This window comes from Homo sapiens, chromosome 1 (assembly GCF_000001405.40).
Source record: "Homo sapiens chromosome 1, GRCh38.p14 Primary Assembly".
Classification (NCBI taxonomy): Eukaryota; Metazoa; Chordata; class Mammalia; order Primates; family Hominidae; genus Homo; species Homo sapiens.
In genome coordinates this window covers 244,302,168-244,325,863 of record NC_000001.11, presented here as the reverse complement: position 1 = coordinate 244,325,863, position 23,696 = coordinate 244,302,168, and the positions used below count along the sequence as shown (strand labels likewise).

At 44.4% G+C, this 23,696-nt stretch overlaps 1 long non-coding RNA gene across 2 annotated transcripts in view, besides 3 other annotated features; it reads left to right on the top strand.

Moving 5' to 3' along the window:
• Positions 257-336: an enhancer, noted in NCBI's record as "active region_2838". NCBI's record gives its function as "activates an Ori minimal core promoter by ATAC-STARR-seq in GM12878 lymphoblastoid cells {active_cell/tissue: GM12878}" and the evidence as "EXISTENCE:reporter gene assay evidence [ECO:0000049][PMID:35858748]".
• The window catches only part of LOC105373262 (uncharacterized), a 94,430-nt gene continuing 71,420 nt past the window's right edge, over positions 687-23,696 (top strand). For both annotated transcript variants that reach the window (XR_007066983.1, XR_949343.3), the window contains exon 1: positions 687-769. This is a non-coding gene — a long non-coding RNA (uncharacterized LOC105373262). The remainder of the gene's footprint in view (positions 770-23,696) is intronic.
• Positions 1,531-2,489: an enhancer, noted in NCBI's record as "H3K27ac hESC enhancer chr1:244486677-244487635 (GRCh37/hg19 assembly coordinates)". NCBI's record gives its function as "activates a minimal SCP1, AML or CMV promoter by ChIP-STARR-seq in naive H9 embryonic stem cells {active_cell/tissue: H9 hESC(naive)}" and the evidence as "EXISTENCE:reporter gene assay evidence [ECO:0000049][PMID:30033119]".
• Positions 5,923-6,332: an enhancer, noted in NCBI's record as "active region_2837". NCBI's record gives its function as "activates an Ori minimal core promoter by ATAC-STARR-seq in GM12878 lymphoblastoid cells {active_cell/tissue: GM12878}" and the evidence as "EXISTENCE:reporter gene assay evidence [ECO:0000049][PMID:35858748]".

Genomic DNA, 23,696 nt, shown 5'->3' with positions numbered 1-23,696 from the left:
AAGGAAGTTTGTATCATCTCACTGTATCTCCTCTGTGTTTCCCTTTGTGACTCCAAAAAAATACTGACAAACACTCTAAATGAAAAACATCCCTAGAAAAAAAAAAAGAGAATCTTACAGAATCTTACTACAAAATGAAACCTACGAGTCTGCCCTACTTAGAAGACAAGGAAACTGTAGAGGCTGCTAGCTCCTGTAGCCAAGTGTGGCTGCACAGAGCATCACAGCAAACATGTCACATTCAAATGCACTGTGGCTTCCTGTAAAAGAATTGACTCATATATATCATAGAAACGTCTAATAGATAATGTCTATTACATTATAATTTTTTTTGCTTACTTGGCTAAATTTACTGAAATACATATTTACTTTTTCTACATGTATTGCTTACCTTGTAAACAATTTGGAATGTCATTTTCTCCCTAATTTGTGTTTTATGTCTTGTATCAATTTTACTGTGTTAAATCAAGTTCAGCCTAAAGCTGCCTCCTTACGTATTTTAAGTTCAGCCTAAAGGTTTCTCTGTACATCGTGAACTATAACAAGTGGAGGTGTAAACCGATGGTAGCCCACACTTGTGCCAATTGCTGAGTTTTGGCCAATCAAATGTAGCCAACTGTTTGAACCATGTTCAAATAAAGCAAACCCTGAGCTGTAACAAATCCGCTGCCTCTGTCCCTCACTTCCTCTTTCTGTTCATAAACATTCTTCCACGACGTGCTGTGCTGGAATCCCTGAGCCTGCTCTGGCCTGGGAGGCTGCCTGATTTGTGAGTCCTTCATTGCTTCATTAAATTCTTTTACATTTAATCCGGTTGAAGTTTTCCTTTAATGAACTGATTTTTTAAAAAGTACCTAAGGTTAGCTTTAAAAAAAAAAATCTGTCCTTAAAAATTGGGTTGGCCAGGCGCAGAAGTGCAGTGGCTCATGCTTGTAATCCCAGCACTTTGGGAGGCTGAGGTGGAAGGATCGCTTGAGTCCAGAAGTTCAAGACCAGCTTGGTCAACACAGTGACACCTGGTCTCTTAAAAATAAAAGAGAGAGAGAGAGAGAAATAATTGGGTTGTGACTTATACTCTATACAATGTATATAACAAGACATACAATATATCTAGTTAGATAGAGAGCCATAGTTCCAATGAGCTAATAATACACATGGATTGTGGTAAGCTATGAGTGGCATATATAGAGACCAATAGGAAATGAGTTAATTCTGATTGCAGATATCTAAGCAGGCGAACAAGGCATTTGACATATGGATCAATTTTCCACTGGCAGCAATGAGGGAGGTTTTTGCAATGAACGGTTATAGACATGGAGGTGGGAAAAGTTAAGCCATGTACAAGTGTATTCATTGGCTAGGGCTGTTGTAACAAAGTACCAGAGACTGGGAAGCTTAGACAACAGGTATTTCTTTCATTTTTGGATGCTAGGAATCTAAGATCAAGGTGTCAGCAGGAGGATTCGTCCCTTCTGAGGGCTGCAAGGGACAATCTGTTCCATGCCTCTCTCCCAGCTCTGGTGGTTTGGTGGCAATCTCTGGCGTTACTTGGCTTGTGGGAGCATCAACCCTCCAGCTCTGGCGGTTTGGTGGCAATCTCTGGCGTTCCTGGGCTTGTGGGAGCATCACCCCAATCTCCGCCCTCATCTTCACCTGATGTTCTCCCTGTGTTTCTTGACGGTGTCTTCTCCATGTGTGTGTGTGTCTTTGTGTCCAAATTTTCCCTATTTATAAGGACCAAAGTCATATTGGGTTAGGTGTCCATCCTACTGACCTCATCTCAACTAATTATGTCTGCAACAACCTGGCTTTCAAATAAGGTCACATTTTGGAGTACTGGGAGTTAGAACTTTAACATGTACGTTATTTTTAAGGCCAGGGTGAGAAGGACATGATTTAACCTTTAACAACCAGTATGGGCCAGGTGCTGTGGCTCACGCCTATAATTCCAGCACTTTGGGAGGCCGAGGCAGGTGGATCACCTGAGGTCAGGAGTTTGAGACCAGCCTGGCCAACATGGTGAAACTCCGTCTCTACTAAAAATATAAAAATTAGCTGGGCTTGGTGGTGTGTGCCTGTATGTAGCCCCAGCTACTCGGGAGGCTGAGGGAGGAGAATCGCTTGAACCCAGGAGGTGGAGGTTGCAGTGAGCCAAGATTGCACTATTGCACTCCAGCCTGGGCGACAGAGCAAGACTCTGTCTCAAAAAACGACAACAACAACGACAACAACAACCAGTATGTAAGGCATATAGTGTGGCTGACATGTAGGGCCTGTAGTTTGGAGGGTACGGGAAAGTGAGACCAGAAAGAGACCGTGGCAAGCTTTTTAGTAAAATACTAATAATGGCAAACACTGGTTGACCAGTTGTTTTATCCCAGGTACTGTTCTCAGCACCTCATGGATTTGATTATTTAATCCTCATCATTTTATAGATGTGGGAATGGGGGCACAAGGAGCATACTTGGCTCAACTTTGAAACTTTCTTGAAATTCCTCCAAAAGGGATGTACTTTTTAAAAAAATAAAAGAAAGAAAGTAAACAAGGAAATGATGAAGAAAAGTCACACTTTCTGTTGGAAGAAGGCTGCTTTAATCAGGTTTGTGGAAGCCAAATCAATGTGACTCCGCCTTCACCAGCCTGAATTGTTTTTTTCTCTCCTAAAAGTCGACTGGTCAGGAAGCTCTGAGTCAGGACTGAGTCATAGTTGTGGTATGTTCTCCAACTAGAAAACAAACTTTGTTTTTAAAACCACTAAAGAAATGTTTGAATAAATAAATGTGCTTCTGTAGCCATCATCTCTGATTCATGAGTTTTTTGAATGGTTCACTACCAATGTTCCTCTGATTGCCGCAGAGTTTGGACAGTGGATATTCTCCACACTTAAAGGTGGTCTTGTCCAGTCTTTCCACCGTCCGTCTTGCTACTGCTTTTTAAATGCCTTCTCAAAAGCTAATCAAAAATTTATGAATAATTCCAAGCTGGGCAAACCGGTTCAACTGGCCTAAGTGCAAGAGGAAAAAGGAAAAGAATTCAAGTGAGAAATTATGCTGGTGTGGATTATTAAGAGCTATGGTTTTGTACAAATACTGCTTCCAGTCTTAGTGGGTCTCTCCTAAAAACCCCAGAGTCCAACCAAACCTAGGAACAGAGAAAATCTAGAGAAGGTAGAGAGAGAGTTGAAAGTCATTTCTTTTAAGGTGTTTTACTTTATGTTTCTATTTTCCCACACAAGGAACATTACCCAGATTTGTGAATGATAATAACACGTTTATTTCTATTTGTTATTTTTCCCTTAAAACAACATATATATTATCTTACAGTTTCAATCGGTCAGGAATCCAGGCATATCTTAGCAGGATCCTCTGCTCAGGGTGTCACAAAGCTGTAGTCAATGTGTTGGCCAGGTGGCAGTTCTCATCTGGAGGATCAACTGGGGATGAATCTGCTTCATTCAGCTTGTTAATAGAATTCATTTCCTTGCAGCTGTAGAACATACAGTGCTGTGCTTCTTCAAGGCCAGCAGGAGGGTTGACCCCAGGGAAATCTTCAGCCCTCTTCTTTTTTTTTTTGAGACAGAGTCTCACTCTTGTTGCCCAGGCTTGAGTGCAATAGTGCAATCTTGGCTCACTGTAACCTCTGCCTCCCAGGTTCAAGCAATTCTCCTGCCTCAGCCTCCCAAGTAGCTGGGATTACAGGCGTGTGCCACCATGCCTGGTTAATTTTTGTATTTTTAGTAGAGACAGGGTTTCACCATGTTGGCCAGGCTGGACTCGAACTCCTGACCTCTGGTGATCCCCCTGCCTCAGCCTCCCAAAGTGCTGGGACTACAGGCTTGAGCCACCGTGCCCAGTTCTCCTCTTCCAAAGGACTTCCAATGATTAAGTCAGGCCTGCTCAGGATATTCTTTTGGTTAATTTAAAGTCACCTGGAACCTTATCCACAGTGAAGAATGAATGACTTGCAAGGTTTACCTATTACTTTCTTCACTAGCTTTATTTGCATCTGGGCCTTATGCCAAAGGGATGAAATGCAAAGGGCAGAATTGCATTCATCAGTGATTCTGATGGAACATCTGCAAAAGTCCTTCATCCTTGCTATATAACCTGAGGATAATACTAGGGGACAGAGATCATGGGGACCATTTTAGAATTCTTCATGCCGTAATCACTTTCTGGTAATATCCTATTTATGGTTGTACTTGGAAGGTGCTACAGTTATCACCCTATTTTCTGAATAAGGAATAATGACGCTTTTAAATAGAAAGATTGAGGCCGGGCACGGTGGCTAATGCCTGTAATCCCAGCACTTTGGGAGGCCTAAGCGGGCAGATCACTTGATGTCAGGAGTTCAAGACCAGCCTGGCCAACATGGCAAAACCCCATCTCTACTAAAAATACTAGCCAGATGTGGTGGTGGATACCTGTAATCCCAGCTACTCAGGAGGCTGAGGCAGGAGTGTCACTTGAACCCAGAAGGCGGAGGTTGCAGTGAGCTGAGATGGCGCTGCTGCACTCCAGCCTGAGAAACAGAGCGAGACTCCATCTCAAAAAAATTAAAATAAATAAATAAATAATAAATAAAAAGGTTGAATATCCTCTCCTAAATGTAGACTGGGCCATCAGAAAATACACTTTCCATAATCATGGAGTCATAGAAGAGCATGTTAGACACAAATTTTTTTCTAATTTTTTAAATTTTTTTGAGACAGAGTCTCACCTCAGGCCTCACCCAGGCTGGGGTGCAGCAGTGGCGTGATCTCAGCTAACTGCAACCTCCGCCTTCCAGGTTTAAGTGATTCTCCTGCTTCAGCCTCCCGAGTAGCTGGGATTACAGGCACACACCACCACATCAGGCTAATTTTTGTATTTTTAGTAGAAATGGGTTTTCACCATGTTAGCCAGGCTGATGGACGCTACCTTATAATCAGCTGGTCCATCCCCCTGTGTTTTAGAGACAGAAACCAAGGAAACAGCAGTGACTTGCCAAGGTCACAGAACTTGTTCTTCTGAATTAGATTCTATATTCAATGCATTGAAAGTTTGTGATCAAAAGTCAGAGTGAAGTAGGGATTTGCAAATAATAAAAACTGAGGTGCAAGAGCTTTTTTTAAAATAACGCTTTTTTTTTTAAAGAGACAGGGTCTCACTCTGTTGCCCAGGCTAGAGTGCAGTGGCACGATCACAGCTTACTGCAGCCTCCAATTCCTGGCCACAAGTGATCCTCCAGTCTCAGCCTCCTCAGCATGTACCATCATGCCTGGCTAATTTTTATTTTATTTTATTTTTGAGATAGGGTCTTGCTCTGTGTCTCAGGCTGGAGTGCAGTGGTGTGATCTTGGCTCACTGCAGCCTTGACCTTCCCGGCTCGAGTGATCCTCCCACCTCAGCCTCCCAAGTAGCTGGGACTAGAGGCATGCACCACTATGCCAAGCTGATTTTTGTATTATTATTTTTTTTAGAGGTGGGGGTCTCACTATGTTGCCCAGGCTGGTCTTGAGCTCCTGGGCTCAAACAGTCCACCTGCCTCAGCCTCCCAAAGTGCTGGGACTACAGGCATGAGCCACTGTGCCCCACCTCACGTTTTATTTTTAGTTTTTTGTAGAGACGGGGTTTTGTTGCTCAGTCTGGTCTGGAACTCCTGGCCAGCCTCAAGCAATCCTCCCACCTCAGCCTCCCAAAGCACTGGGAATACAGGCATAAACCACTGCTTATGGTCAAAAATAACACTTTCATGTATAATTTTCTCATTAGAAATTTGTCAAATCACACCTAGAACTGAGAACACCACCGAGCCTCTTCAGGGACTTAGAAATCAGGGAAACCCCTGATGTGTGTGAATATACATTGGCCTGCGTCCTGGCCGGGGAAGGCAAGTTTAAGTTTTCAGAGGATTTGTAGGTTGGATGTCATGATTGCCTTCCTCAGGGCTGTCATTTCTTAATGTCTTTTATATTCTTCTTCTCATCTCCCTTCTGCACTGAGTCAGGGCCTCTCTCATGGAGCAACAGTCTTCCCACAGAGAGTAAAGTCATCACAGTGGAGGCTTGCTCAACCTTTACAAATTCTAAAACCACAGGCCAACATTAACTTCCTCCATTTCTCACCGGAAATCAACATGGCCACCACCATCGTGCCTCATCCTGCTCCTCTTGGACTGTAAATCATGGCTTGTTCATTGTAAGCCGTCAATTGCATGTTGTTTCAGTTGTCTGCCAACTCAATTCTATCAGTGTGTTTTGACTGATAGAATTTTGTAAACTCCCTTTTACATTTATTTGTATTTGACGAGATGGTTTGATTTTGTTGAGCTGTCTTCCTCTTTGTTATCCCTCCTATCACAGTTCTTGGAGCTCACTACCCCTTTTCAGATTGTCATGGGCAGGCAAATTGCTGGTCCCCTCGCCTTGCAAGGTCCTTTGCATAACCACACAGTTTTCACTTGAAAAGACAATAGAGTTGCCAGATAAAATACAGGCCCCTGCAAGATCTGGAACACACTCTGCACGATGCCATGCAGTATTTGGGATATACTTATGCCAAAACTTGTTCATTATTTATGTGAAATTCAAGTTTAATTTGAATTAAATATTGGCACCCGTATTTTTATTTGTTAAATTTTTATTTGTTAAATATTTGTTAAACTTTTATTTGATATACTTATGCCAAAACTTGTTCATTATTTATGTGAAATTCAAGTTTAATTTGAATTAAATATTGGCACCTGTATTTTTATTTGTTAAATCTTGCCACCCTCAAGTACAAACGCCTCTGTACCTCAGAGGCATAAGAATGTGCAAATGGGATTCATGCAACTCACAACCTAGACCTCCCTCTCTTTTCTATCTTCAAAAACCAATGTTCTTTTACTGTTAAGAACCTTGGGAGAGAGGGAAATCACAAGGTAGTCTTAAGCAGATTACTACACTCTTGTAGTGATAACATTTAATTAAAAAATTGATTTATTTTTCTTCTGACTTAAAAGCAAAATGAAACAAAACAAAACAAAACCCCAAACCACAAACTCAGGCCTCCTCTCTGGGCTTCCCTGCACACAGGCTGATGTTAACTGCACTGAGCACCCTGGGAACATCAGTCCAACTGCAGGCACTGGAATCGCTGTAGACCATGACGGACAATGGCTCCCATACACACAGTATTCCAGTCTTGGGAGTGAAAATGGCCCCGTGCAGCCTCACGGCCCATGGGTTTAGGCTGAACTTTGAGACCATTTCTTTTTATTCACACCTGGGATGGCCTAGCCCAACTGAAACCAAGCAACCTGGACGCCCTATCAGTGGCTGTGAAATCATAGGCCAAATTCCTCTGTGGCAAAGACTTCCTGTAAAAAATACCGTTAAGGCCTAGCCAGGTCCGAAATGAATAAATGAATAATCATTGATTATTGATCAATGCTTTTTAATCAGTGCCCTCTGTGAAAAGGAACTATCCCTCCCCACAAAACTCTTTTATGAATAGAACCAGAATGGTTGAAGGGTGGTTTCATTCTTTTTTTTAAGAGATGGGGTCTTGCTGTGTTGCCCAGGCTAGTCTTAAACTCCTGGCCTCACGTGATCCTCCTGCCTCAGCCTCGGCCACTGAGCCTGGCTCATTCACTTTTTACCTACTTTTGGAACCTCAAATGGTAACTAACTTACCAAGTGATTGGCATAGCTACCAAGGTGAAATGTTAAATTTAATGCAGTGTCACATCGTTCTTCCAGATTCGTGGTGAGTAGGATTATCCAACAATCCCTCTCATGTATTTCTTTCTTTTTTTTTTTTTTTTTTGAGATGGAGTCTCGCTCTGTTGCCCAGGCTGGAGTGCAGTGGCACGATCTCGGCTCACTGCAAGCTCCGCCTCCTGGGTTCACACCATTCTCCTGCCTCAGCCTCCCGAGTAGCTGGGACTACAGGCACCCGCCACCACGCCCGGCTAATTTTTTGTATTTTTCATAGAGACGGGATTTCACCGTGTTAGCCAGGATGGTCTCGATCTCCTGACCTCGTGATCCACCCACCTCGGCCTCCCAAAGTACTGAGATTACAGGCGTGAGCCACCGTGCCTGGCCCCTCTCAAGTATTTCTAACCAAAATGATCAACCTTCTGTACCCTGAACTTACAGATTCTGTTCTAAAGTCAGTGTGAGAATTATTCCATCTAGGTTAGTACATTTGTCTCTAGAAAAACGACCCATGGGGAGACAGTGTTCCCCATGCCATTCCTTGCCTTTTGGGCCCACCACAAATCCTGATATTTAAGGCCCTTAAGTTAAATAATTCTGCCATGAAGCATGAAATGTAAGTACAGCTTAAATAATCATAAAAGAGAGACTATATGTCCAAGCAGGCAGCATGCACCTTGATGGGTGATGAGTACGTTAAGATAAATCATGCCCAGATTGCAAGGTGTGGGAGGCGTAGTGCACCATCCAGATTGCCCGGCAAATCTGAGGGACTCTGGGAGTGCTGCTGGCTGACAGCCTTCAGCTGTCTGTCCTCTCCAGAAATTGCTCTTGGCTGCAGAGATCCTCTTGCTTAAGGTCATGTCCTCTTGTGAGGGCAGTCGGTATCCGATGACTGTTCATTGCAGAGGTATAAGGGCTCGGACCCCGTGCCCCAACTCATGACAACTCTGAAGGCCCATGGGGTCAGCTGAGGTCACCCTTTCTCCTGGGGTGTTAATCCCAAGAGCACTCTAGCAGGCGTCCTGCATGCTAACTTCCATCTCAGAGCCTGTTTCCCCAGGAAGCAACCTGTAACTGGTGATATCAAGGATATTTCAACATGGCCTGCTGCAGTGGCTCACACCTGCAATTCCAACACTTTGGGAGGCTGAGGCAGGAGGAGGGCTTGAGCCCAGGAGTTTGAGACCAGCCTGGGCAACATAGGGAGACCCTGCCTCTGCAGATAATTTTAAAAACTTAATTTCAAAAGTAATATTCCAAGAAAGCAGATGCTAAGATGGGATTCTGCAGCTGAGTCACCTGTGTTTCTGGTTGGCAATGAGGACTTCATAACCGCTGGTAGATGAGGCACAGCCTAGCCCTAGGAAAAGGCAGCAGTGCAATTGTTAAAACTTCTGCCAGTAGTGAATTTGGATGGCAAATGAGTGGAGGGGAATACAGTAGCCATCGAAATGTATTAGACATTTGAGAAACGTGGGGGGAATGAAGGACAGTGGAATTGGATGACTGTTGCAGGGGAACTGCCGCTTCGAAAAATGAAAGGCTGGCAGTGAATGCACAACTCACCAGCTAGGTATGAAAACCAGAGACCTTCTTGGCAACGTATAAGGGAATCCCCATCTCCAGTCACCAGAGAGCAGAAAAAGCTGAGGATCAGGCCCAGTTTTTAATCATAAGAGTAGCAGAATTCTAGAAAGTGTTAAACTCTCATCCTGGGTAGGTCTGCTTTGCCCAGGTCGGGGCTCTGATGAGCAGAAAGTGGAACCTGGAGATATGAGATTGAAACACTTGTGTCCATGTGCTTGAAAATCCTGATTCCCCAGAACCCTTTGAGCCTAGGGAATGGCTCCCTCCTCCATACTAAGGGCTAGCACCCACCCCATTTATTTGAACACAGTGCAGCGGCCATGTCCCTGCAAGACAGCAGGCACCCTCTTCAGGGTCTGTCCTTACCTGCCCTCTTGACCATTAGGCCAATAACTATATTCTGTAACCCACCTGGGGAGATGCGGGACCTGTGAAGGGAGAAAAAGAGCGATACACTGAAGGGGCTGCAGGGCCAAGCTTACCTCAGTGGGCAGGATCCAGCAGAGCGCAGACAGGGCTGGGCTCTGAGAGTGCAGAATCAGGGAGTGGGGTTAGGGTGGGAGGTTGGGGGTGGTACTGACTGTTTTTTCTTACTTTCTGTACTCTTAATGCTCTGGCATTTGGGGCCTTCATCCTGGAGAGGCTCCCAGGGCCAGCTAATTCCTAGGGATAGCAAGCGACATCCCTGTGAGCATGCATTTCATATACAAACCAGCCAATCCAGAGCCACACCCTCAGCCATCTCTTTTATCAGACTCTCACACACCAGCCTGGCATGGTGGTGCATGCCTGCAGTCCCAGGTACTTGGGAGGCGGAGGCAGGAGGATCCCTTGAGCCCAGGAGTTTGAGGCTGCCATGTGCTCTGATTGTGCCTGTGGTTAGCCACTGCACTCCAGCTTGGGCAACATAGTGAGACCCTGCCTCAAAAAAAAACCAAAAAACAGAAAAACTCTCACACACCAAGCTAATATTCCCCTTGCCCTAAATTGCCCCAGGGCAGTCACTGGGCAAATGGGGATCACCCCGTAGCCGTAGCCCAGAGCCAGTTGAAATTATTCAAACTATCCAACACTATACTTACTTTGCATCCTTACCCTGCCTCACCCATGCTTTCCTGAGAAAACCCCAAGAAAGGCTCTGGGCCTGCCCTCCCTCTTCTTATCACTCCTGAGCATCCCTGGTCCTTCCCTATTGGCCCTGCATGGTGTGCTGTGCCTCGTGTTTCAGGGATGTGTGAGTATGAACTTCCTTCCTGACAATCATTTCCATGTCTGCTGTCCCACCGTACCTGAATAAAACAATTCCTTGGTACATTTTTAACACAGGGTGGAGCGCAGAGCTGGGCAAGGGAAATTTGATAGATATGGGAGCATTCTCCAAGGATACAAGATTTAATACTCTGGCAAGGATCCCAGGAGGAAGAACTCCTGTGTTGCTAGTGGGGCTTCTGGGAGGCCGGAGAAAGCAATGATTCGTGCTAAACCAAGTCAGTGTGCCAGAACTATTGTGGCAAGCGCTGGAAGAAAAGATCACAAAGGCCAGAGAAGTGGGTATACTAGAGTATACTCGCACTATGTGAGGCTGGAAAATTCACCAGATAGTCTGCAGGAGAGTCTGAAGTACATGCCACTTCCTGAAGTGATCAGGAATGAACTGGGGAGAGGGACACCAGCATTGTTGAAAAGTTTGGCGAGTCTCACTGGTTCAGCTGTTCTCAATAGACCAGCACTGATGGTCATTATAGAACTGGGATCTCTGATGACAACAGGGATGATAAGATCCCCAAAGAATAGGGATCAGGTGGTTACATTTTGCTGTCAGAAGTGAGGGGGCATGATGGTTATAATGAGTGCAAGATCAGAAGGTCAGCTAAGGGAACAAGTCCGCACAGAGCTTTGGAGATGCTTCATAGACATAGTGTTCCTAGGGCTCTGTGGAGGGCCATCACATGGATGAGCACCGATTAACTTATACAATAAAAAAATAGAGGATGGATGAGGGCAGCTGCCATAATAAAAATATATGATTCCAAGCAGGGCATGGTGGCTCACGTCTGTAATCCCAGCAGTTTGGGTGGCTGAGGTGGGAGGACCGCTTGAGGCCAGCAGTTCAAGACCAGCCTGGTCAACATAGCGAGACCCCATCTCTACAAAAAATTTAAAAAAATTAGCCAGGTATGGTGACACACACCTGTAGTCCTAGTTACTTAGGAGGCTGAGGCAGAGGATCACTTGAGCCCAGAAATTCGAGGCTGCAGTGAGCTATGGTTGTACCACAGCACTTCAGCCTGGGTGACAAAGCAAGACTCTATCTCTAAAAAAATTGTAAAAAATAATTAAAAAGTTACAATCCCTTGTTCTTTTTTTGGGGCCTGAGATATTTTTCAAGCCCAGAATCCAATGACCGAAGAAGAGGCTGGGTCCTCACTAGGAAAAGCCCGGCAGCCTCAGGGCTGTAAGTAGTAATGTTTGCCCCAGGCTTTCCCCATTGATCCTTATGGTTATTTTCTCAGATAACGACATTGCTTATCCTCAGAGCCATGATACACCCCTGTTAGAATGGAGGCATGTGGGGTTCAGACAGTAAATGGAATTCTGGCCCATGTCTGGCTCACATTGATTCCACTGGGTCTACTGACCCGTCTGGTGGGCATTGCCCCAGAACCTGAATATGCAATTAATGTAGAATCAATCTACGTTGATTCCTTGGCCTTTGTGGTAAGAGCTATTGCAATTAAGAAGAAAAGGGGAGAGTCTTTGAAACTCCCCCATCAGCATCAATTATTGTCATTTAAAAAAATCATCCAGAATAATAGCCATACTGGCCAGTTTTTCCAGCACTGTCATAAGGAGGGAAGGGAGCCTGGGAGAGCCACACACCCAAAGTCCTTTCATAGCCCGCCAGGAAGGGGAGTGTTGCAACTTGGAAATAAGCAGTTGAGATACAGATAGGAAAACAAGCCTCCCGTAGTGCACCTACAGAGACCCTCTCCAAGCTTCAGGGCCCCGGGCCACCTGCCGCCAGGCCAAGCTGCTGTGCTGTAAGCTCCTGGACCACATTCTCTGGCTCATGATGTACATGCTATGTCATCGGTGTGGATTGTTGAACAACATAGAGTTAGATATTGAACACCACGGATTTTAAAACACAAGGGACTGGATTATGTAAGACATAAACAATAGGCTGGGCACGGTGACTCACGCCTGTAATCCCAGCACTTTGGGAGACTGAGGCGGGTGGATCAGTTGAGGTGAGGAGTTCGAGACCAGCCTAACCCAATATGGTGAAACCCCGTCTCTACTAAAAATACAAAAATAGCCGGGCGTGGTGGTGCACACCTGTAATCCCAGCTACTCGGGAGGCTGAGGCAGAAGAATCACTTGAACCTGGGAGGCGGAGCTTGCGGTGAGCTGAAATTGTGCCATTGCACTCCAGCCTGGGCAATAAGAACAAAACTCTGTCTCAAAAAAAAAAACAACAAAAAAACAACAAAAAAAACAACTATATCTATATGTCTATATATCTATATATCTATCTATATCTATATATATGTGTGTGTGTGTGTATATATATATATATATATATATATATATATATATATATATATATAAATAGTTCAGAGAGAATTATGGCCCTGGAATAGATGAAGCCTTCAAATGCAGGCCGAAGGTTCTGAGGCATCCTCCAAGATGCTCTGGGGCCATCGTGCGAGCCAGGCTGGCAGGTTTGGAGACAGTCAGAGGAGAAAACCTCTTCCATGTCATCAGCTCCGAACTCCTAACGCCCCTGAGACCACCCTCCTTTACAGACATTGTCAAAGCCAATCACTGTATGAGAGGAGGAAGGAAAGGGAAAGGAAATTAGGGCATGCTAATAAAGGGACTGTGGGAGCTTGAGGAAAGATTACGGGTTAAAGGTAAATGTAAGAAAAAACAGGCCAGATGAAGTGGCTCATGCCTGTAATCCCAGCACTTTGGGAGGCTGAGGCAGGTGGACTGCTTGAGCCCAGGAGTTCGAGACCAGCTTGAACAACATGGTGAAAACCTGTTTCTACAAAAAATACCAACATTAGCCGGCTATGGTGACGTACGCCTCCAGTTCCAGTGATACAGAAGGGCTGGGCTCCTGGCTAAACCCCAGCCTTAAGCCTGGAACCGTGGCCCTAAGTGAAAACAGCTGATCCCATTTTTCTGCCCAAATGTGGCTTTTTGGGCCTCCCCCGCCCCTATCCTGTGCCCATAAAAGACTTCAGCTGGCAGAACAACACAAGTGGCTGAGTGTCGCGGATCCAAGCAGCTGAGTGTTGTGGATCCAAGCAGCTGAGCGGTGAGCAGAGAAGCAACTGAGCACCAGAGACTACAGATAGATGTGGCCAACTTCAGACAGCGTGGCTTCAGAGAGGGGCCCAGCCAAAGACGGCAGAGCTTCAGGAAAAGATCACCTTCGCATGCCCTTTCCAGCCTCCCTTTCTGCCCAGAGCCACCCACTGCTCAATAAAGTCTTCCGCATTCATCACCTTTCAAACACTTCATGTGACCTGATTCTTCCTGGACACCAGACAAGAACCCAGGTGCCAAGAGGGGAGGGGCTGCCACCCTGACCCTCCACTGAGCTGACTGGCACTTGGCTGTCCTCAGACGGCAGAGCTGAAAGGGCAATTGGTTGTAACATGCTTGGATGCTGCTGCGGGGCCTGCACAGAGCCTGCTCCTGCCGGAGAGGAGCGACCAGCTGGCTCCAGAGTTCATTCGCTCTAGTTCCTGCACTCACTCACTCACACGCCACCTCCCAGGAGCAGTGGCCAGTGGTGGGCTAAATCTAAAAAATAAAATAAATAACCTACTAAATCTGAAAGGTAATGAAAGATATAAGTTGAAATGCTTTAGATTTAAAGTGGAAGAAATAAAAGGTAAAAGCTTTTATTAGCTAAATTAAAAGCTTGAAAAATGAGGAGACAGATTTTAGATTGAGATTAGAAATATATGTAATAGGCAAAAAGGAATTGCATTTTACTTTATTTGATAGGAATAAAAAGGAAAGAAAGCTGAACGTGGTGGCTCATGCCTGTAATCCCAGCACCTTGTGAGGCTGAGGCAGGAGGATTGCTTGAGCCCACTAGTTTGAGATCCGCCTGGGCAATACAGTGAGCCCCTGTTTCTACAAAAAATTAAAAATTAGCCAGGTATGGTGGTGCACACCTGTAGTCCTAGCTACACGGGAGGCTGAGGTGAGAGGATTGCTTGAGCCCTTGAGGTCAAGGCTGCAGTGAGCCATGTTTGTGCCACTGCACTCCAGCCTGGGCAACAGAGTGAGACAGTGTCTCAAAAAGAAGGAGAAGGAGAAAGAAAGAGAAGGAGAAGGAGTGGAAGAGGAGGAGGAAGAGGGAAGAGGGAAAAAGGAAGAAGGAAGAAAGAGAAGAGAAAAGAAAACCAGGAAAGATGGAGTAAGAGTGATAAGACTAAATGTAACTCTAAAGTTGAATTTTTAAAAAAATCTGAAGTCATTCAACATACAGGGCAATGGGCAGTCCTCAGAACTATGCATGGATGTGGATTTCTCCAGAGTCAACAGTCCTAGCCCTGGGAGCTCAGCACTGGGTTCTTGGTTCTATGACATAGACAAGACTTCCAATCCTCCATTTGACTTGAACAAAGCCTCTCATGGTCACGACCAATTTCTAGATCAGCTCCCTCTGCAGAGGTATCTTATCCACCCCAAATCAACACTCAAGTCTCCTGAAGAGCAATGAAATGACAAAGAACAAAGCATTTAGATAAAAAGACTGGGAGCTCTCACTACTCATTCGAGGAGGGCCACCCCCAATCTGCAGGGACCCAGGGACAAAACAAGGTCCCTGTCTGCCAACAAGACAGTGGCAGAACCCGTGGATGTGCAAACATTTGAAATCTTGCCTTGTTCTCTCCCAAATGTTTCCCAATGAAAACCTTCAAATAATTTCAATAACAGGTTTAAAAAATCTACACAGGCCAGGCATGATGGCTCACGCCTGTAATCCCAGCACTTTGGGAGGCTGAGATGGGCGAATCATGAGGTCAAGAGATCGAGATCATCCTGGCCAAAATGGTGAAATCCCGTCTCTATTAAAAATACAAAAATTAGCCAGGCATGGTGGTGGGTGCCTGTAATCCCAGCTACTTGGGAGGCTGAGGCAGGAGGATTGCTTGAATCCAGGGAGTGGAGGTTGCAGTGAGCCGAGATTGCGCCACTGCACTCTAGCCTGGTGACAGAGCGAGACTCCATCTCAAAAAAAAAAAAACAACTACATAATTTTTTTGAAATAATTTATGTTTTTTTGAGACAGGGTCTCACTCTGTGTCACCCAGGCTGGAGTGCAGTGGCGCAATCATGGCTCACTGCAGCCTCAACCTCCTGGGCTCAGGTGATCCTTCCACCTCAGCTTCCCGAGTAGCTGGAACCACAGGCATAGGCCACCACACTTGGGTAATATATATATATATATATATATATATATATATATATATATATATATATATTTTGGTATTTTTTGTAGAGACGAGGTTTCACCATGTTGTCCAGGTTGGTCTCAAACTCCTGGGCTCAAGCAATCCTCGCACCTCAGCCTCCCAAAGTGCTGGGATTACAGAAATAAGCCACCACACCCAGCCTATCTTGAAATAGTTTTAAGTGTATAGAAAAGTTGCAAGAACAGTACTGTTAAATAAAATTTATGGGAGGCCATATGGTTTGGACTGAGCTCCTGTACTAGACCCAATGACCAAACCAAAACAGAGTCCCATATGTTGAAGTGCCATGTCCCCAAGCTGAAACTAAGTTGTTCATCTGACCTTCTGAGAAATCAGGAGTGAGAGAGATAATAGCCAAATCCCCAGACACTTTAGTTGGCATGACAAGGAAGCCTCCCTACTTTAATCTTTACAAGGAAAGTAAGTTTGAAACAACCAATCCACTTTTTGTTCTGTTTCTGCTTTCCTTAGCCCTTTTCTGTCTATAAAGCCAACCTCCTCTGCTCTGCTATATTAGTCTGTTCTCACACTGCTAATAAAGACATACCTGAGACTTGGTAATTTATAAAGAAAAAGAGGTTTAATGGACTCACAGTTCCACATGGCTGAGGAGGCCTCACCATCATGGCGCAAAGTAAAGGAGGAACAAAAGCACATCTTACATGGTGGCAGGCAAGAGAGTGTGTGCAGGGGGAGCTGCCCTTTATAAAACCATCAGATCTCATGAGACTTATTCACTATCACGAGAACAGCATGGGAAAACTCGCCCCCATGATTCAATTACCTCCCACTGGGTCCCTCCCACAACACGTGGGAATTATGGGAGCTACAATTCAAGATAAGATTTGGGTGGGGACACAGCCAAACCATATCATCTGCTTATTGGAGCACTCATTCTATTATATAGAATGAGGAATGAGGTGTAGCTGGATTTTAGAATCATATGTAAAAGCCAGTTAAGATCTTTAAACTAAATTTATTGTAATTTTGTCTTTCAACAGTACACAAAGAACTCTTGAATCCCCTTTTATCATTTTCTGAACCATTTGAGAGCAAGCTGCAATCATAAGATCCAGCACCTCTAAACACTCCAGAATATATTTTTAGATATAACCCTGTAATGGCTGAAAAGTGTTCCCCCCAAATTCACATCCTCCTGAAACCTCAGAATGTGACCTTATTTTGAAATAGGGTCATTACAGATGTAATGAAGGATCTCCAATTGAATCCGTCCAAGGATTAAGGTGGGCCCTGAATCCCATAGACTGGTGTCCTCATAAGAAAAGGTGAGGACAAAGAGAGACACAGAGACACACAGATAGCTATGTGAAGATGGAAGCAGAGGTTGGGGATCTGCTGCCACAAACAAAGGCACCCCAAGTATTGCCAGCAACCACCAGAAGCAAGGAGAAAGGCATGGGACGCTTTCTCCATCAGAGTCTCCGGAAGGAACCAAGCTTACTGACACCTTGATTTTGGACTTCTAGCCCCCAGAACTTCAAGATAATACATTTCTGTTGTTTAAAGCCATGTGGTTTGTGGTAATTTGTTATGACAGTGCTAGAAAACTTATACAAACCCTCCAAGGCAGAAATAAACATGGGCACAACACTGCTACCCAATCCACAGATCCCATTCAAATTTTGCTGGCTCAGCCCATCATGTCTCTTTTCCCTTTCAGGTCCAGGATCCAGTCCAGGAGCATGCATTACATTTAGTTGTCACATGTCCGAATAGAAGGAAGGAGATTCCCTTCAATATGGAATAATTTCTTAGTCTTTCCCTGTCTTCCACATCCTTCCGTTTTTTGTTTTTGTTTTTATTTTGAGACAGTCTCACTCTGTCACCCAGGCTGGAGTACAGTGGGGTGATCATGGCTCACTATAGCCTTGACTTCTCCAGGCTCAGGTGATCCTCCTACCTCAGCCTCCTGAGTATCTGGGACTACAGGCGTGTGCCACCACACTCGGCTAATTTTTGCTTTTTTTTGTAGAACAGAGTTTCAAGTTGCTCAGGCTGGTCTCAAACTCCTGGGCTCAAGTGATCCACCCACCTTGGCCTCCCAAAGTGCTGGGATTACAGGCACGACCCACTGCAACTGGCCCCACATCCTTCAGTTTTTAAGAGTGCAGGCCTTTTGTTATGTAGGATGGCCCTAGACCTGGTTCCATCTAATATTTCATTTTGGTCAGACCTCGCCATGATTTCTTGACAGGAAAATGATGGACAGGATCCTGGGCTCTGCACATTACAGCATATGATGTGGTCTTGTCTCATCACTGGTGATGTTAATCTTGATTGCTTGGTCATGTTGGTGTCTTCCATATTTCTCCTCCATTGAGTCACCATTTTCACCTTTGCAATTGATAAGCATTTTGTGGGGAGATTTTCTAAAATTATGCTAAAATCCTGATCCTTAACAACTTCTACCCATCAGCCTTAATATTTGTGGATGATCCCTATCTGAATAAATTATAACCATAATAGTGTCATATGGTGGTTTGCTATTTTCATCATTCCTTCTACATTAATTACTTGGTATTCTACTGTAAGAAAGAAGTTCCACTGCTTCCTCTATTTATTTACTTATTTATTCATTTATTTAGTAGTATGAATTTCAATTTAACAGGTTAAAAACCATGCTTGTTCTTTGTGAAAGTATATAACGTTATTATCTTTATCAGAGAAGAAATGGTTCTGAACTTCTCAAGAAAGTATACAAGCAGTATAAAAATGAGATAATTACACTTACTTAACATACCTTATTTTCATCCAAATAAACACGAAAAGAATCCAACATGATATTTGAAATTCTACCATAGGGTATTTTACTAGAAAAATAGAATCTTGTGTTTTTGGTAATGTTTGTTCATATCACAAAATTACTGAGAAGCGAAACATTTCTAAATTCACATTAGAACATTGTAATTCACATTTGTGTTAGAATGATGGTTACCAGAGTCTGGGAAGGGTAGTGGAGTAGTAGAATGGGGGATGGTTATTGGATATGAAAATATAGTTAGTTAGAATGAATAAGATCTAGTATTTGATAGCACAACAGGGTAACTACAGTCAACAATAATTTATTGTACATTTAAAAATAACTATAAGACTATAATTAGATTGTAACACAAAGAAAGGATAAATGTTTGAAGTGATAGATACCCCATTTATCCTGATGTGATTATTACACATTGTATGCTTGTATCAAAATATCTCATGTACGCCATACATATATATGCCTACTGTGTACTCACAAAAATTAAAAATTGTAAAAATAAATAAACAAAACAAAACAAAATTGTTTGATATTTCTTTTATAAATTCCCTTTCACAAATCTTTTCATGACTTACACAGAACATCTATGAAAAGCTTGGACTTTCTCACTTGTCCTAAGCATCCCTCTTTTTAAACAATCAGTTATTTTTCTTTAGGATGCAAATTTACGACAAAAGATCCTTTCTCATATAAAATTTCTTTTCTTTATAATCTTCCTTAACAAAAATACCTCTTTACCTTTATAACCTTTGAATTAGAGAAAAGTTATTTTCCTTCTGTTAGGAATTTATGGTTTGTACTGCATGTTGTTGTGTGTGTCCTGTGAAGGGGAAGCAAATGAGGAGGTTATCTACATACTGTAGAAGTTGTTTCCCCTCAAGAGATTGCTCGGTTAGATTTTTGCTAGGGCTCATCCAAATAAGTGTGGGCTATTTTTAAACCCCTGAAGTAGGATGGTACAGGTTGAAGTTATCGGTTAAAGATTTAGGTAGCTTTTTGGGAGAAATAGGGCTATTAGAGAGGAAGGTGAATTCAGAGGTTGGGTACATATTAAGCAGCCACCCATTTTGGAAAGTATATTTTTGTCCTAAAGGGGTGTGAATCTTTTCTTTTAGAGGGAGAGGGTGACATTTGCCCTGTTACCTGATAGGATTTGGAGAAGAGTTGCTTAGAGAAGTAGATTAGCATAGACTAGGCAGCTCTTGAACCCAAAAGGGAAATGTATAATTTTACTTGCTACCTCTACTGTTGCCCTTGGCTTTGTCTTGCTGATGACAATGTCTGACTTGGAAGCCAGCCAGAGCAGAGGTCTCCTTCAGCTCAAGGCCATCAGGGATTGGGATCCAGTCCTTCGGCCGTCAGAGCAGTTCTTTTCCAGTGGCAGAGCTTGTGGCAAAGGGGCAAGCTGTGCCGGGCTTTTTCCCATTTATCTCATTGGGGCAGTTTGCCTTCCAGTGGCCTGGCTTCCCACACCAATGACAGTTACCTGAAGGACTGTCCTTAGGGTAACCTGAAGGGGGCTGGAGAGCTTGTAAAGCAGCCAGTTGTTGAGCCTGTCTCTTGTCCCTGCATTTCCCTTTCTCCTTAGCCCTGTCCTCCTTATTCTGCTTTTAGTTACAAAAGACTGAGGAGGCTGATTTGAGGATTTCCTATATAGGGGCACTAGGTTCTAAGGTTGACTTTTGTAATTTTCTCTCAGTTCGTTTTTAGGCCAAACAGTATTACAAAAGAAAACTAGTTTTTTGTTTTTAGGTTTGAGGAGGATCAAATTTTTCCCAGTTCTTGAGGATACAACCAGGGGGCATGTCCCATGCTATGAAGACATGATTACCCATTTGTGAAGAGAGAACAGAGGAGGAAAAAAAAGGAAAAAGGAAAAAGAAGGCATCCCCTGTTACTTCTCTATCCTGAACAGGGCATCCCCCATTCGTCCTTAGGATTCTGGAATAAACCAGTCTTACCATGTCCCCTTAACCTTCGTCCCATCTCGTCACTATTATCCACTTAAGAACAGAGGAAATAAGGGTGTGAACCAGGCACCCCCTGTCCATCCTTGGGGTTCTGGAATGAACTGGTCTTACTGTGCACCCCTAACCTTGCCTTCATCTCTGTTCTAATGGTAATGTTAACCTGGAACAAGCCTTCATCTCTGTCCTGTGGGTCTCTTGCACCTGCAGGCTTGAGCCAGCCTAGATCCTTTTCTCCATGACCTTATAGTGACTCTTGCCCGGGGCATTCTACAACAAATTGATTATCTCTTTCCTCAAATTTCCATTTCCCATGTTCTTTAAGTAGATGAGAAGCCTGTTTTTCAGCTAACTGCCTCGAGGGAGCTGGACTTCCCTCCCTTTGAATATGACCTTGAAGATCTTGATGCATATTGAGAAGGGCGTGGAAGGATTAGAGAAATGGAGGCTACAGGAAGAAGTGGGAGGAAGCGAGAGGGATGCTCATGGAAAGGCTTTGCTTGCAAAAACAGCAGCCCTTAGATTTGAGAAGGCAATGTTTATTTGCTCTTTTGACATAGAAGAAGTTGTGGAGGACTTGGAGCTTGGTGGTAAGAACTTGCAAATGGCAAAGGAAGAATTTTTCCTCCTGCCAAAGGGATGCTAACTAAAAAAAAGAAAAGAAAAAAAAGAAAACACAAGTAGGTGGGGTCCTTAAAGGGCCACAGAGTGAGGTCCTATGCAGGTGCACAAACTGCTTCAAAAGCCACCAGAAAACTAGGCCCTGGGGCATAACTGGAACAAGAAGTGTACGGTAAAGTCATCGGGAGCGGTCAGACCTGGGGTTCCGATCAGTGTCCATCCCAGCAATGTGCCAACAGACAGGGGAAAAGTTGGAGGTCATCCAAGCTGGTGGGGTAAAAAAGTACAAATCTCCACAAGGGACATCCACAAGGGAGCCTGTGGCTTTGCTGCCGAGCGAATGCAGCAAGAGCCGCGGATGCATGAATAAGAGGGCGTGTGTCCATGTGGGGCAGAGAAGGAAGTTATGCAGTATGCAAAGTGGAAACAGGGAAAAGGCAGACTTGCCCCGGAGGCAGAGAGTCTGGAGGGTGCGCAAGGCCATTTCAAAACACACACAGAGAAAACACAACAGGCAGCACAGGCTTTTGGGAAAGAGCTGATTTTAGTTGAAAAAGCAGAGGAAATCCCAGACACTGCACGGTCCTAGGCTTTAGCCCTACCGCTCTCCCCAGCCTCCTGTGCAGGAGGGCCATTAGCATCTCAGGTCTACTTGGTGCAGACTCCAGGGTCCTCCTCCCCTCCACGAGCCACCTGTCAGGGTGAGCTGAGAGATCAGCCGGGGGGAAGCAGAGCCACTGTGGCTGAGAGGAATCATTCTGGGGGTTGGTTAGTAAGCAGGAGAGCAAGAGGGCGAAGAAAACTGCATTTAGGGGTTGAACACCTCCAGCCAAAGAAGGCAAGGCATAGAGGCGTCTTACCACTAGGGAACATATCCAAGTCACAGCACCAAAGTATGTCAGCAGCAGCAAATCCGCATGGGTCTGGAGCAACCTCAATTCTTGCTTCCTTGATTTCCTTAGAAGAAAGAATTCAACTGAGGGACATAAGGCAGAGAGAGAGAGCGCTCAAGGCAAGTTTTAGAGCAGGAGTAAACGTTAATTAAAATTAAAAAGTTTTAAAGCAGGAACAAAAGGAAATAAAGTATGCTTGGAAGAGGGCCAAGCAGGCAACTAGAGAGATGTGAGTGCACAGTGTAACCTTTGACTTGGGTTTTTTATGCTGGCATGCTTCCGACGGGGGCTGCATCCCTTCTCCCCTGATTCTCCCCTTGGCGTGGGCTGTCTGCATGCACAGTGGCCTGCCAGCACCTGGGAGGGCCGCGTGCACAGTGTTTACTGACGTTGTGTGCATGCTCACTTGAGGAGCTCTTCCCTTACCAATCGAGTGTTCCTAGAAGAAGGTCACATACCAGTTAAACCCCACCACCTGCCTCTCAGTGCACAAGCTTGAGCTCACCCACTCAACTCCTGAGATCTTACTGGGAAGCTGCTGGTCACCAGTTTCAGGTTTTTTCTGTCTCTTGGGAGACTGCCTTTCCCTGGTGAGCCGGCTGTGACCAGTTGTTATCTTAGAGAGACAGTGTGACAACTGCCTGACCATCACCTGATGGTGGCCTGACATTCCAGGTCATGGGGCCATGGTGGGGGCGTGCCCTCTCCATCCTGCTTATGTCAGACTTACTGCCTCCCGTAACACACCACTCCCAGCTCAGTCCACATCATCCTTGAGGAATGTCTTCCCTTTCTAGTACCAGCAGATATTCTAGGCTCACCTAGTTCCTGCACCATCCCAGGAATCAGCTATTTCCTGGTTCCTTTCAGTGCAGAATGACATTTAGAAACCAAGATAGATAGATGCTCCACGTGCTCATTGCTGCTGGGATGATATTGCTTCTAGGCTTGCTTGGCTGGTAGAGCTAGGATTTGTTTGTATGTATGCATATATATATACACACACACACATATATATATGCACACACACACACATATATATACACACACACATATATATACACACACCTCTCTCTCTATATATATATACACACATATAGTTATATCTGTATAGATATATTTATATTTTTGTGTTTATGTTTTTTTGAATTATGAGTTCATAATGTACTTTCAATTACAATTCAATACCCCAAGGTTATTTCCATTCTTCCCCCTTCTCTTCTGGCCACTGCTCCAACCTAGCCCCCATTGTCCTCTCTACATTTACCTGTTCAATTTACTTATTTGCTCCATGGAACCGTGCAGCACTGCCTCCATGGGACACCTCCCACCACCTCTGTGCAGCTCAGACCTGGCCACACTGACACCTCTCAGAAGGGAACAGAGGGGAAGAAAAACCTCAGAAGTAGTTTAGAAGAGAAGCATGGAAAAGATAGTGTAAAGTCGGCTTCACTCTCTTGGAAGCTGATTGCAGGATGTGAACTTTGATTTTGTAGCACATACTTTGCCTTTAATGGAAGAATGAAGTTGAAGACGTTACACGATATTCAGTCAGAAGAAGAGAGGCCTGTATTTCCCCTGGTTCCACTAGAATAGCCACAATTGAGTAAAACCAAATAGAAAAAGGCAGTGGACTGGAATGGGAAGAAATAAGGA